The sequence below is a fragment of the Homo sapiens genome, chromosome 12, assembly GCF_000001405.40.
Source record: "Homo sapiens chromosome 12, GRCh38.p14 Primary Assembly".
NCBI lineage: Eukaryota > Metazoa > Chordata > Mammalia > Primates > Hominidae > Homo > Homo sapiens.
Window position 1 is genome coordinate 26,308,325 of NC_000012.12, and position 12,978 is coordinate 26,321,302.

Below are 12,978 nucleotides of genomic sequence, written 5' to 3' on the forward strand. Positions count from 1 at the left end.
TGATTTTGTGGATATGACACCAAAAAAAGCATAGGTAACAAAGCAAAATAGACAAGTGGGACTGCCTCAAACTAAAAAGCTTCTACCAGAAAAGAAACAATCAACAGAGTGAAAAGACATCCTATAAAATGGGGAAATATTTGCAAACCATATTTCTGATAAAGGGTTAATTTCCAAAATATGTAAGAAGACTTATATATAAGAAACTCCTATAACACAACAGTAAAAAAACTAGTAACCTGCTTAAATAATTGGGCTAAAGACTTGAATACACATTTTTCCAAAGTGGACATACAAATGGCCAACAAGTTTATGAAAAGATGCCCAGTCACTAGTCATCAGGGAAATGCAAATATAAACCACCATGAGATATCACCTCACACTTGTTAGGATGGCTATTATAAAAATACACACACACACACACACACACAAAGACAACACATGTTGATAAAATGTAAAGAAATTTGAATCCTTATACAGTGTTGGAGGGGAATGCAAAATGATGCTGCCACTATGACAAACAGCATGGAGATTTTTCAAAATATTAAAAATAGAACTAGCATAGGATTCAGCAAACCCACTTCTGGGTATTTGTCCAAAAGAACTGAAGTCAGGATGTCAAAGAGATATTACCATTCCCATATTCATTGCAGCACTATTTATAATCGCCAAGCTGTGGAAATAAAAACTAAGTGTTCACTGACAGATTAATGGATTTTTAACAATGTCATATAGACATGTAATAGAATACTATTTAGTTATACAAAAGAAGGAAAGCCTGCAACATGGAACAACATGTATAAATGTTGAGGACATTATAGTAAGTGAAATGAGCCAGTCAGAAAAGGACAAATACTGCATAATTGCACTTATATGAAGCGTCTAAAATAGGCAAACTCATAGAAACAGAGGGTGAATAGTTATTGTCAGGGGCGGGGGGATGGGGAAAATGGAAAGTTGCTAATCAATAGGCAAAATATTTTTATTTTTATTTTTATTTTTTTGAGATGGAGTCTCACTCTGTCACCCAGATTGGAGTCCAGTGGCACGATCTTAGCTCACTGCAACCTCCACCTTCTGGGTTCAAGTGATTCTCCTGCCTTAGCCTCCTGAGTAGCTGGGACTACAGGTGTGCACCACCACACCCAGCTAATATTTTTTGTATTTTTAATAGAGACGGGGTTTCACCGTGTTGGTCAGACTGGTCTCGAACTCCAGATCTCAAATGATCCTCCCGCCTCGGGCTCCCAAAGTGCTGGGATTACAGGAGTGAGCCACTGAGCCTGGCCACAATATTTCAATTATACAGGATACACAACTTTGTGTCTATAGATAGCATTACTGTATTTTACATTTAAAAGTCTATTAAGAGGGCAGATTTCATGCCAAGTGTTCTCATCACAATAAAAAAAAATGAAAACAACACCAATGATAAAAAGGCGGTAGATAAATAAATACCCCAGTTTCCTCATCTATCAATCAGCTGGGGTAATTCTGTAGTATGGTCTACACTGTCTCCCAGTGTTCTGAAATGGGATTAAGCCTTTTTCCCCTAGGATAATCACAATAATTCACAATTTATTGGTTTCCTTCACGGTCCCATTTCGCTTCCCACTCCTTCTCTGGTACTCTTGACTACAATAAATCATTTTCCCTGTAAAGAACGTAGTCTTTTTATTCCCTCAAAAAATATTTGGGATGCTTTTGATACTGATTTAATTAATTAATCAATTATATTACTTCATTATGAAGTTGCTCTTTGGAATAATTATCATAAAAACATAACATGGGTTCTGTCAGTCTACACATTTTAGGATGATTTTACCAGCATGAATGATAATAAAGGTTAAGATAATAAAAAAGTCATCAAATTGTATACTTACATATGTAAACACTATTGTATATAACATAATTCAGTAAATTTGATTTTTATATGGATAGACACAATATTAAATGTGTTGACATATGTATATGAACTTAATCAGAGATTAACTTAAGAATTATGTTCAAGGATGTTTCTCACTGCTATTTTTTTATTATTATACTTTAAGTTTTCAGATACATGTGCAGATCCTGCTGGTTTGTTTCATAGATATACATGTGGCACAGTGGTTTGCTGCACCCATCAACCCATCATCTAGGTTTTAAGCCCTGCATGCATTAGGTATTTCTCCTACTGCTATCCCTTCCTTTGCCCCCCACCCCGATAGGCCCTGGTGTGTGATGTTCCCCTCCCTGTGTCCATGTGTTCTTATTGTTCAACTCCCACTTAGGAGTGAGAACATGCAGTGTTTGGTTTTCTGTTCCTGTGTTAGTTTGATGAGAATGATGGTTTCCAGCTTCATCCGTGTCCCTGCAAAAGACATGTTATCCTTTTTTATGGCCGCATAGTATTCCATGGTGTATATATGCCACATTTTCTTTGTCCAGTCTATCATCGATGGGCATTTGGGTTGGTTCCAAGTCTTTGCTATTGTAAACAGCGCTGCAATAAACATACGTGTGCACATGTCTTTATAGTAGAATGATTTATAATGCTTTGGGTATATACCCAGTAATGGGATTGCTAGGTCAAATGGTAATTCCAGCTCTAGTCCTTCAGGAATCACCACACTGTCTTCCACAATGGTTGAACTAATTTATACTCCCATCAACAGTGTAAAAGTGTTACTGTTTCTTCACATGCTCACCAGCATCTGTTGTTTCCTGACTTTTTAATGATTACCATTCTAACTGGTGTGAGATGGTATCTCATTGTAGTTTTGATTGCATTTCTCTAATGACCAGTGATGATGAGCCTTTTTTCAGGTGTTTGTTGGCTGCATAAATGTCCTCTTTTGAGAAGTGTCTGTTAATATCCTTTGCCCACTTTTTAATGGGGTTGTTTGTTTGTTCGGGTAAATTTGTTTAAGTTCCTTGTAGATTCTGGATATTAGACCTTTGTCAGATTGGTAGATTGTAAAAATTTTCTCCCATTCTGTAGGTTGCCTGTTCACTCTGATGATAGTTTATTTTGCTGTGCTGAAGCTCTTTAGTTTAATTAGATCCCATTTGTCAATTTTGGCTTTTGTTGCAACTTGCTTTTGGTGTTTTAGTCATGAAGTCTTTCCCCATGCCTATTTCTTGAATGGCATTGCCTAGGTTTTCTTCTAGGGTTTTTATGGTTTTAGGTCTTATGTTTAAGTCTTTAATCCATCTTGAGTTAACTTTTGTATAAGGTGTAATGAAGGGGTCCAGTTTCAGTTTTCTGTATATGGCTAGCCAGTTTTCCCAACACCTTTTATTAAACAGGAAATCCTTTCCCCATTTCTTGTTTTTGTCAGGTTTGTCAAAGATCAGATGGTTGTAGATGTGCGGTGTTATTTCTGAGGCTTCTGTTCTGTTCCATTGGTATATATATCTGTTTTGGTAAGAGTACCATGCAGTTTTGGTTACTGTAGCCTTTCAGTATAGTTTGAAGTCAGGAAATGTGATGCCTCCAGCTTTGTTCTTTTTGCCTAGGATTGTCTTGCTATGCGGACTTTTTTTGTTGTTCCATATGAAATTTAAAGTAGTTTTTTCTAATTGTATGAAGAAAGTCAACAGTAGCTTGATGAAAATGGCATTGAATCTACAAATTACTTTGGGCAGTATGGCTATTTTCACGATATCGATTCTTCCTATTTGTTTGTGTCCTCTCTTATTTTCTTGAGCAGTGGTTTGTAGTTCTCCTTGAAGAGGTCCTTCACATCCCTTGTAAGTTGTATTCCTAGGTGTTTTATTCTCTTTGTAGCAATTGCGAATGGCAGTTCACTCATGATTTGGCTCTCTGTTTGTCCATTATTGGTGTATAGGAATGCTTGTGATTTTTGCACATTGACTTTGCTGAAGTTGCTTACCAGCTTAAAAAGTTTTGGGGCTGAGGCAATGGGGTTTTCTAAATATACAGTCATGTCATCTACAAACAGAGACAATTTGACTTCCTATTTGAATACGCTTTATTTTTTGCTCTTGCCTGATTGCCCTGGCCAGAAATTCCAATACTATGTTGAATAGGAGTGGTGAGAGAGGATATCCTTGTCTTGTGCCAGTTTTCAAAAGGAATGCTTCCAGCTTTTGCCCACTCAGTATGATATTGGCTGTGAATTTGTCATAAATAGCTCTTATTATCTTGAGATATGTTCCATCAATACCTAGTTTATTGAGCGTTTTTACCATGAAGGGGTGTTGAATTTTATCAAAGGCCTTTTCTGCATCTATTGAGATAATCGGGTGTTTTTTGTCATTGGTTCTGTTTATGTGATGGATTACATTTATTGATTTGCATATGCTGGACCAGCCTTGCATCCCATGGATGAAGCTGACTTGATTGTGGTGTATAAGCTTTTTGATGTGCTGCTGGATTCAGTTTGCCAATATTTTATGGAGGATTTTTGCATTGATGTTCATCAGGGACATTGGCCTGAAATTTTTGTTGTTGTTGTTGTGTCTCTGCCAGGTTTTGGTATCAGGATGATGGCGGCCTCATAAAATAAGTTAGGGAGGAGTCCCTGTTTTTCTATTGTTTGGAATAGCTTCAGAAGGAATGGTACCAGCTCCTCTTTGTACCTCTGGTAGAATTTGGCCGTGAATCTGTCTGATCCTGGGCTTTTTTTTTTGTTGGTAGGCTATTAATTACTACGTCAATTTCAGAACTTGTTATTGGTCAATTGAGGGATTGGACTTATTTCTGGCTTAACCTTGGGAGGGTGTATGTGACCAGGAATTTATCCATTTCTTCTAGAGTTTCTAGTTTATTTTTGTACAGGTGTTTATAGTATTCTCTGATGGTAGTTTGTATTTCTGTGGCATCGGTGATGATCTCCCCTTTGTCATTTTTTATTGTGTCTATTTGATTATTCTCTCTTTTCTTCTTTATTAGCCTGGCTAGTGGTCTATCTATTTTGTTAATCTTTTAAAAAACCCAGCTTCTGGATTCATTGATATTTTGAAGGGTTTTTTTGGTGTCTCTATCTCCTTCAGTTCTGCTCTGATCTTAGATATTTCTTATCTTCTGCTAGTTTTTGAATTTGTTTGCTCTTGCTTTCCTAGTTCTTTTAATTGTGAAGTTAGGGTGTCAATTTTGGATCTTTCCTACTTTCTTCTTTGGTCATTCACAGCTATAAATTTTCCTCGAAACACTGCTTTAGCTGTGTCCCAGAGATTCTGGTATGTTGTGCCTTTGTTCTCATTGGTTTCAAAGAACTTATTTATTTCTGCCTTAATTTTGTTATTTACCCAGTAGTCATTCAGGAGCAGGTTGTTCAGTTTTCATGTAGCTGCATGGTTTTGAGTGTGTTTCTTAATCCTGAGTTCTAATTTGATTGCACTGTGGTCTGAGAGACTGTTATGCTTTCCATTCTTTTGCATTTGCTGAGGAGTGTTTTACTTCCAATTATGTGGTTGATTTTAGAATAAGTGTGATGTGGTGCTGAGAAGAATGTATATTCCGTTGATTTGGGGTGGAGAGTTCTGTAGATGTCTATTAGGTCTGCTTGGTCCAGAGCCAAGTTCAAGTCCTGAATATCCTTGTTAATTTTCTGTCTCATCGATCTGTCTAATATTGACAGTGGGGTGTTAAAGTCTCCCACTATTATTGTATGGGAGTCTAAGTCTTTTTGTAGGTCTCTAAGAACTTGCTTTGTGAAGCTGGGTACTCCTGTATTGGGTGCATATATATTTAGGATAGTTAGCTCTTCTTATTGTATTGATCCCTTTACCATTATGTAATGCCCTTCTTTGTCTTTTTTGATCTTTGTTGGTTTAATGTCTGTTTTATTAGAGACTAGGATTGGAACCCCTGCTTTTTTTTTCACTTTCCATTTGCTTGGTAAATCTTCCTCCATTCCTTTATTTTGAGCCTATGTATGTCTTTGCACATGAGATAGGTCTCCTGAATACAGCACAACAATGGATCTTGACTCTTTATCCACAGTCTGTTTCTTTTAATTGGGGCATTTAGCCCATTTACATTTAAGGTTAATATTTTTATTTGTGAATTTGATCCTGTCACCATGATGCTAGCTGGTTGTTTTGCCAGTAGTTGATGTAGTTTCTTCATAGTGTCATTGGCCTTATATTTTGGTATGTTTTTGCAGTGGCTGGTATCAGTTTTTCCTTTTTATATTTAGTGCTTCCTTTGGGAGCTCTTGTAAAGCAGGCCTGGTAGTGACAAAAATCCCTGAGCATTTGCTTGTCTGGAAAGGATTTTATTTCTCCTTTGCTAATGAAGCTTAGTTTGGCTGGATATGAAATTCTGGGCTGAAAATTCTTTTCTTTCAGAATGTTGAATATTGGCCCCCACTCTCTTCTGGCTTGTAAGGTTTCTGCAGAGAGATCCACTGTTAGTCTGATGGGCTTCCCTTTCTAGGTAATCTGACCTTTCTCTTTGGCTGCCTTTAACATTTTTTCCTTCATTTCCACCTTGGTGAATCTGATGATTATGTGTCTTGGGGTTGTTCTTCTTGAGGAGTATCTTAGTGGTGTTCTCTGTATTTCCTGAATTTGGATTTTGGCCTGCCTTGCTAGGTTGGAGAAGGTCTCCTAGATAACATCCTGAAGTGTGTTTTCCAACTTGGTTCCATTCTCCCCATCACTTTCAGGTACACCAATAAATCGTAGGTTTGGTCTTTTCACATAGTCCTATATTTCTTGGAGGCTTTGTTCATTCCTTTTCATTCTTTTTTCTCTAATCTTGTCTTCACACTTGATTTCATTAAGTTGATCTTCAATCTCTGATATCCTTTCTTCCACTTGATTGATTCAGCTATTGATACTTGTGTGTGCTTCACGAAGTTCTCATGCTGTGTTTTTCAGCTCTGTCGGGTCATTTATGTTCTTCTGTAAATGGGTTATTCTAGTTAGCACTTTCTGTAACCTTTTATCAAGGTTCTTAGCTTCCTTAGAACCTTGTTCCTTTAGCTTGGAGGAGTTTGTTATTACCCACCTTCTGAAGCCTACTCCCGTCAATTTGTCAAAGTCATTCTCCATCCAGTTTTGTTCCCTTGCTGGCAAGGAGCTGTGATACTTTGAAGGAGAAGAGGCATTCTGGTGTTTGAAATTTTTAACATTTTTGCACTGGTTTTTCCTCATCTTCATGGATTTATCTACCTTTGATCTTTGATGCTGATGACCTTTGGATGGGGTTTTTGTGTGGGCATCCTTTTTGTTGATGTTAATGCTATTGCTTTCTGTTTGTTATTTTTCCTTCTAACAGTCAGGCCCCTCTTCTGCAGGTCTGCTGGAGTTTGCTGGAGGTCCACTCCAGACCCTGTTTGCCTGGGTATCACCAGTGGAGCCTGCAGAACAGCAAGGATTGCTGCCTGTTCCTTCCTCTGGAAGCTTCATCCCAGAGGGGCACCCTCCAGATGCAAGCTGGTGCTCTCCTGTATGAGGTGTCTGTCGACCCTGCTGGGAGCTGTCTCTTAGTCAGGAGGCATGGGGGTCAGGGACCCATTTGAGGAGGCAGTCTGTCCCTTACCAGAGCTCAAGGGCTGTGCTGGGAGATCTGCTGCTCTCTTCAGAGCTGGCAGGCAGGAATGTTTAAGTCTGCTGAAGCTGTGCCTGCAGCTGCCCCTTCCCCCAGGTGCTCTGTCCCAGGAAGATGGGATTTTTACCTATAATCCCCTGACTGGGGCTGCTGCCTTTCTTTTAGAGATGCCCCGCCAAGAGAGGAGGAATCTAGAGAGGCAGTCTGGATACAGCAGCTTTGCCACGCTGTGGTGGGCTCCGCCCAGTCCAAACTTCCTGGCGGCTTTGTTTGAGTAGGGGAAAACCAGCTACTCAAGCCTCAGTAATGGTGGACATCCCTCCCCCAACCAAGCTCGAGCGTCTCAAGCTGACTTCAGACTGCTGTGCTGGCAGCAACAATTTCAAGCTGGTGGATCTTAGCTTGCTGGGCTCCGTGGTGGTGGGACCTACTGAGCAAGACCACTTGGCTCCCTGGCTTCAGCCCTCTTTCCAGGGGAGTGAATGGTTGTCTCACTGGGCTTCCAAGTACCACTGGGGTACAAAAAAAAACCTCCTGCAGCTAGCTTGATGTCTGCCCAAATGGCCACCCAGTTTTGTGCTTGAAACCTAGGGCCCTGGTGGCAAAGGCACTGGAGGGAATCTCGTGGTCTGCAGGTTGGGAAGACCATGGGAAAAGCGAAGTATCCGGGCCAGAGTGCACACTTCCTCACGGCACAGTCCCTCATGGCTTCCCTTAGCTAGGGGAGGGAGTTCCCTGACCCTCTGTGCTTCCCAGGTGAGGCGACGCCCCACCCTGCTTTGGCTTGCCCTCTGTGGGCTGCACCCACTGTCTAACCAGTCCCAGCAAGATGAACTGGGTACCTCAGTTGTAAATGCAGAAATCACCCACCCTCTGCGTTGGTCTACCTGGGAGCTGCAGACCAGAGCTGTTCCTATTTGGCCATGTTGCCCCCTCCTCCTCACTGTTATTTTTAATAATGAAAAAACAGAAATTGGCTGGGTGGTGGCTCCTGCCTGTAATCCCAACACTCTGGGAGGCTGAGGCCGGTGGATTGCTTGAGGTCAGGAGTTTGAGACCAGACTGGGCAACATAGTGAAACTCCATCTCTACTGAAAATACAAAAATTTGCTGGGGGCAGTAGTGCACCTATAGTCCTAGCTACTTGGGAGGCTGAGGTGCGAGAATTGCTTGAGCCTGGGAGGTCAAGATTTCAGTGAGCTGAGATCATGCCACTGTACTCCATCCTGGGCAACAGAGTGAGACCCTGTCTCAAAAACAACAACAAATAATCCAGCCATTACCTAAATGCCAAGAAATAAAAGACTGATGTATAAAAACAGGGGCCTTTGGTGTGATGGATGCATTAGCATTTACAACTGAGTTTCCTGCTCTAGCCTAACCTGCCCTGCAGACCCCTGTAAGGCCTCCCCAAGTATTTCTGGACTTCCTCTAAGTTCTCCCACAGGAACTCATAAGTCAGACTATTAGATATAATCACATGTGGAATTTGCCTTATTCTTTCTCTTTCTCCCCCTCTCCCTCCTCAGCATCCTCTACTCACAACACCTTCTGAAGGAGCCTCAGTCCTGCCATGACTGGCAGAACCTATCACGAGCATCGCCGGCATCCATGCCAACAGCTCACCTGCAAGGCTTTCAACTCTGCTGACCTTCAGAGTGTCAGAGCAGTGCCGAAGCCCAGGACATGGCTGTCATCCCTTATTCCTCCTAGCTCAAATCACCCTCAATATCCTGATAGGAACCAAATACCAGGCCATCCCGCCATTTCAGTCTCTGTCCCAAGGACTCCTCATTAAATTCCATCATCATCCTTCAGCTAACAACCAAAAGCCTTCCTGAAACACAGCCTCATGCAAATAGGTACTGAGAAAACTTCCTAGCCCCTAGTTCTGCAAACACTCACCTACGCAGTTTAGAATCAGCTAGGTTACGTGCCTGTGCATTTATATATGCAGATAAATAATACAGCAGCTATACTACAAGTAGGTGTCTCTTCAGCCTGTTTACTTTAATTTTTACATATTAGGCTCATCTCTGAATGCCCAAAAGAGGATGTAACTGATATATTCTCCTGGCAAAAGAGTCAGGAGTCATTTCCCAGCTGAGGGGATGGGTTGATGCTCTTCCATTTTCTCTTAACCCTGTGCAAATGGTGCTGGGCCATAAGAGGACATCTGGGATTCAACTCCCACTGTGTATGGCTAAGAATCAGAACAAAGTATGATGTCCACAGAGGACCTTGAGCTCACAGGCTCCATTCCAGAGAGTAATACAGGGATAGTAAACCACTGGAAGCAAAGACTCCCTGTGGAATAGCTGCAGTCATCCCCCATGCTGGCCCAGCCACCTGAGAAGAGACAGTCTTGTTAGGTTGACTTAACTATTGGTCACCTGAATTTAATTTGGCTTACTGAATTATGGATGAAGGAGACAATAATCCCCAAGAGTTGGCCAATCTTTGTCATCAGGGGTTTTCTTATGTTGGTGAGAGTGTTCTAGTACCTTAATAGGCAGCTTGAGTTTGATGCATGAGTCATAATGAATCAGATGTACCAGAGTTGTTGTTTTGATTCAGCTCAGCAGTTATGTCTTTGAATCTGAGTCTCAGATGGGCACCTGAATAGACTCATCACAAAGCTTCATTGCAAATTATACAGTGCAGGGAAGCTCAACAAATTATTCTGATTGTTTCCAGAAAGAAAAAGGAAGGCAGGATTATACAGCATTTAGTGTCACCAATTAACAAGGTCATGGGGCTGAACCACTCATTCCAAAAACTTAATATCTACAAACTCAAGCACAAGGAGCCTCTTTTAATTATTTGGAAACTGTGGGCTGCAGGGAAAGCGAGTGCTCTCAGCCTTGTGATCTGAGCAAGGTTCAGGAGCTGGAGTGGGTTTGGCTGAGTCACCACTGGCTGCATGACCCCACACACATCACCTGACCTCCACATGCTTCAGCTGGCCCGGCTGTAGAGATGAGAAAATGCAGCCGGAAGGCCCCAAGGGGCAAAAACAGCCTTCTGCACACAGCTGCCCTGGGGCAGCTTCCTGCGGCACAGTTTAGCTCTATCAGAGGCAGGGGGACCCTAGTCTGGGCCACCAAAGCAGCCTTACCTAAAAGCCACCTTTGGGAAAGGGCCTGTTTCATGCCGCAAGTGTAGGAGTATAAGTAAGTAAAACCTTTTTTAAGCCTTGAAAATACTCATATGTTTTGGTTGCATGATTTCATTTGAATGAATTTATTCTTAGTCAGGAATCAGAGGCGTACACAAATATGTATGTTCAATCATGCTCATCATAGTGTTAACTTTAGTAACGAAAAACTGAAAATTATCTAAATGTTCAACTGTAAAGCATTGTACAACAAACTATGGTACATTTTTATTTTGGAAGGTTGTATGGCCATTAAAAAATCACTAGAACAGAATAATCAATGACCTGGGAAAATGTCCACCGTAGGATAGTATATAGAGAAGGACCGTAAAACAACATTGTTAGAATAATCCAATTTGTTTTACACTATATGTACTCCCAGGTGGATAGACAAAAGCCTGGAAGGTGAGACAAGAAATTATTAATGATGTTTAATCTCTGCGTTTGGGGATTATCAGCTCTTTTTAAAATTTATGGTGCTTGCCTGTATGTTCCAATATTTTCTATCACAATGGTCATGTGTTCTTTTTGCCATAAAAATCAATTTTGAAATTCCCCGAGTTGCTGTTAACTTGGCCTGTCTGTTGCATATGGGGCCAAACTACACGCCTACCTGTGGAGCAAATGAATACAGTGACTCATCTGTGAGCTGAGGCTTGAGCAATTCCAGCCCAGGAGGCTCTCCGGCCTGGGAACAGAGTGGGATTTTTTGTCTGAGGAGGCTGAGTCTGGAAGAAGGATGACTCTGTGGGTGGTTTCCTAGATCCTCAATGCACGTGGCTTCCGGCCTTGACTCCTCCCTTAAATTCTGGGTTGCTGGCCAAGGCTGAAGAACAAATTTGCCTCAGCAGCCAACTCCTCTATGTAAGCCTGACATTTACTCTGTATCTACATAATATCTATTAAGCAACACCTGATCCTGTTCACCAGGATGTATGTTCCCAGGGAAACCTTCCTTTCAAAGTTAAGCAGGCATTCTTGGTAAGTAGCCCTAACACCTGGGAATCATGCAGTTAACTTTCCAGGCCTCAATCCTACATGAGTGTCCTGGGTTATAATAGCATGGCTGGATGGGTGGTGATCTCACCATTTTAGCCAGTGGCTCATCCTGCATGGGAAGAAAAGTTTTAAAATGGCACAGCTTCCTTTGAGAAGAGAGCCATCTGCTCCATAATATATGGGGAAGGAAAATGGTGCTTTATGAGACAATCAGAGCAAATTGGTACATCATCATGGAGCTTTCAAGGTGATATTTTCTAAAACAACATAGCCATTTTTTATTCCTCTTACCAAAGCCAAGGGGCAGTCGATAATCTCAACATTTCTGCTCTCTGCTTCAGGTGTAGGCTGTCATTGGCTTGCTTAGGTCAATAGTGGACACCAGCCTTCCCTGAGCTGACTTATTGAAGATGGCCCAAGGGCCTGGCAGGCAGTCTGAAGTACAATCTAACATTGTAACAGATAAGTCCCAGTGTGAAAGAGAGTCATATTATCTCCATTTCACACAGAAGAAACCAAAGTATGAATCCTCATCAAAATACATTTTATTGAGCACATACTTTGTGTCTGGTAACGTTTCAGGCACTGGGAAAACAGCAGTGAACAAAATAGATCAAGTCTTTGCCCTCAAAAAGTTTACATTCTTTTGAGAGTAAACAATAAGCAGAGTTTTAATATACTGGGTGATAATCAATATGAAGAAAAGTAAGGCTGAGTAAGAGGATAGAGAATAAAGGAAGTGCAATTCTATATAGAGTAACTAGGGGAGTTTTTTCTGATAAACTGATGTTTGAGCAGAGACAAAAAGGCAGGGAGGAAGTGAGCCACTTGCATCCTTGCAGGACAAATGTTTGAAATAGAGAAAAGAAGGCTGGGTGCGATGGCTCACACCTGTAATCCCAGCATTTTGGGAGGCCAAAGCAGGCAGATCACCTGAAGTCAAGAGTTGGAGATCAGCCTGGCCAACATGGAGAAAGCCTGTTTCTACTAAAAATACAAAAACTAGCTGGGTGTAGTGGCATGCGCCTGTAATCCCAGCTACTCGGGAAGCTGAGGCAGGAGAATCGCTGGAACCCAGGAAGCGGAGGTTGCAGTGAGCCAAGATCATGCCACTGCACTCCAGCCTGCAAAACAGAGTGAGACTCTGTCTCAAAAAATATATATATTAAAAAAAAAGAAAAAGAAAAGAAAAAACAGAAAAAGTGACACAGAGAAAAGAGCAAATGCAAGGCCTTGAGGTGAGAGCACGTCATGATATATTAGAGAATCAGCAAAGATGACACTGTGGCTTCAGATAAGACTCTCATCTTTGAAG

General features: G+C 41.3%; 2 long non-coding RNA genes across 2 annotated transcripts in view, besides 1 other annotated feature; both read left to right on the plus strand.

Moving 5' to 3' along the window:
* Window positions 1–2,131, plus strand: part of LOC105369705 (uncharacterized) — a 57,584-nt gene extending 55,453 nt beyond the window's left edge. Inside the window, exon 6 of the long non-coding RNA XR_007063249.1 lies at window positions 2,052–2,131. This is a non-coding gene — a long non-coding RNA (uncharacterized LOC105369705). The remainder of the gene's footprint in view (window positions 1–2,051) is intronic.
* Window positions 10,293–10,342: an enhancer, noted in NCBI's record as "active region_6122". NCBI's record gives its function as "activates an Ori minimal core promoter by ATAC-STARR-seq in GM12878 lymphoblastoid cells {active_cell/tissue: GM12878}" and the evidence as "EXISTENCE:reporter gene assay evidence [ECO:0000049][PMID:35858748]".
* Window positions 10,600–12,978, plus strand: part of ITPR2-AS2 (ITPR2 antisense RNA 2) — a 103,881-nt gene continuing 101,502 nt past the window's right edge. The window contains exon 1 of the long non-coding RNA NR_199072.1: window positions 10,600–10,680. This is a non-coding gene — a long non-coding RNA (ITPR2 antisense RNA 2). The remainder of the gene's footprint in view (window positions 10,681–12,978) is intronic.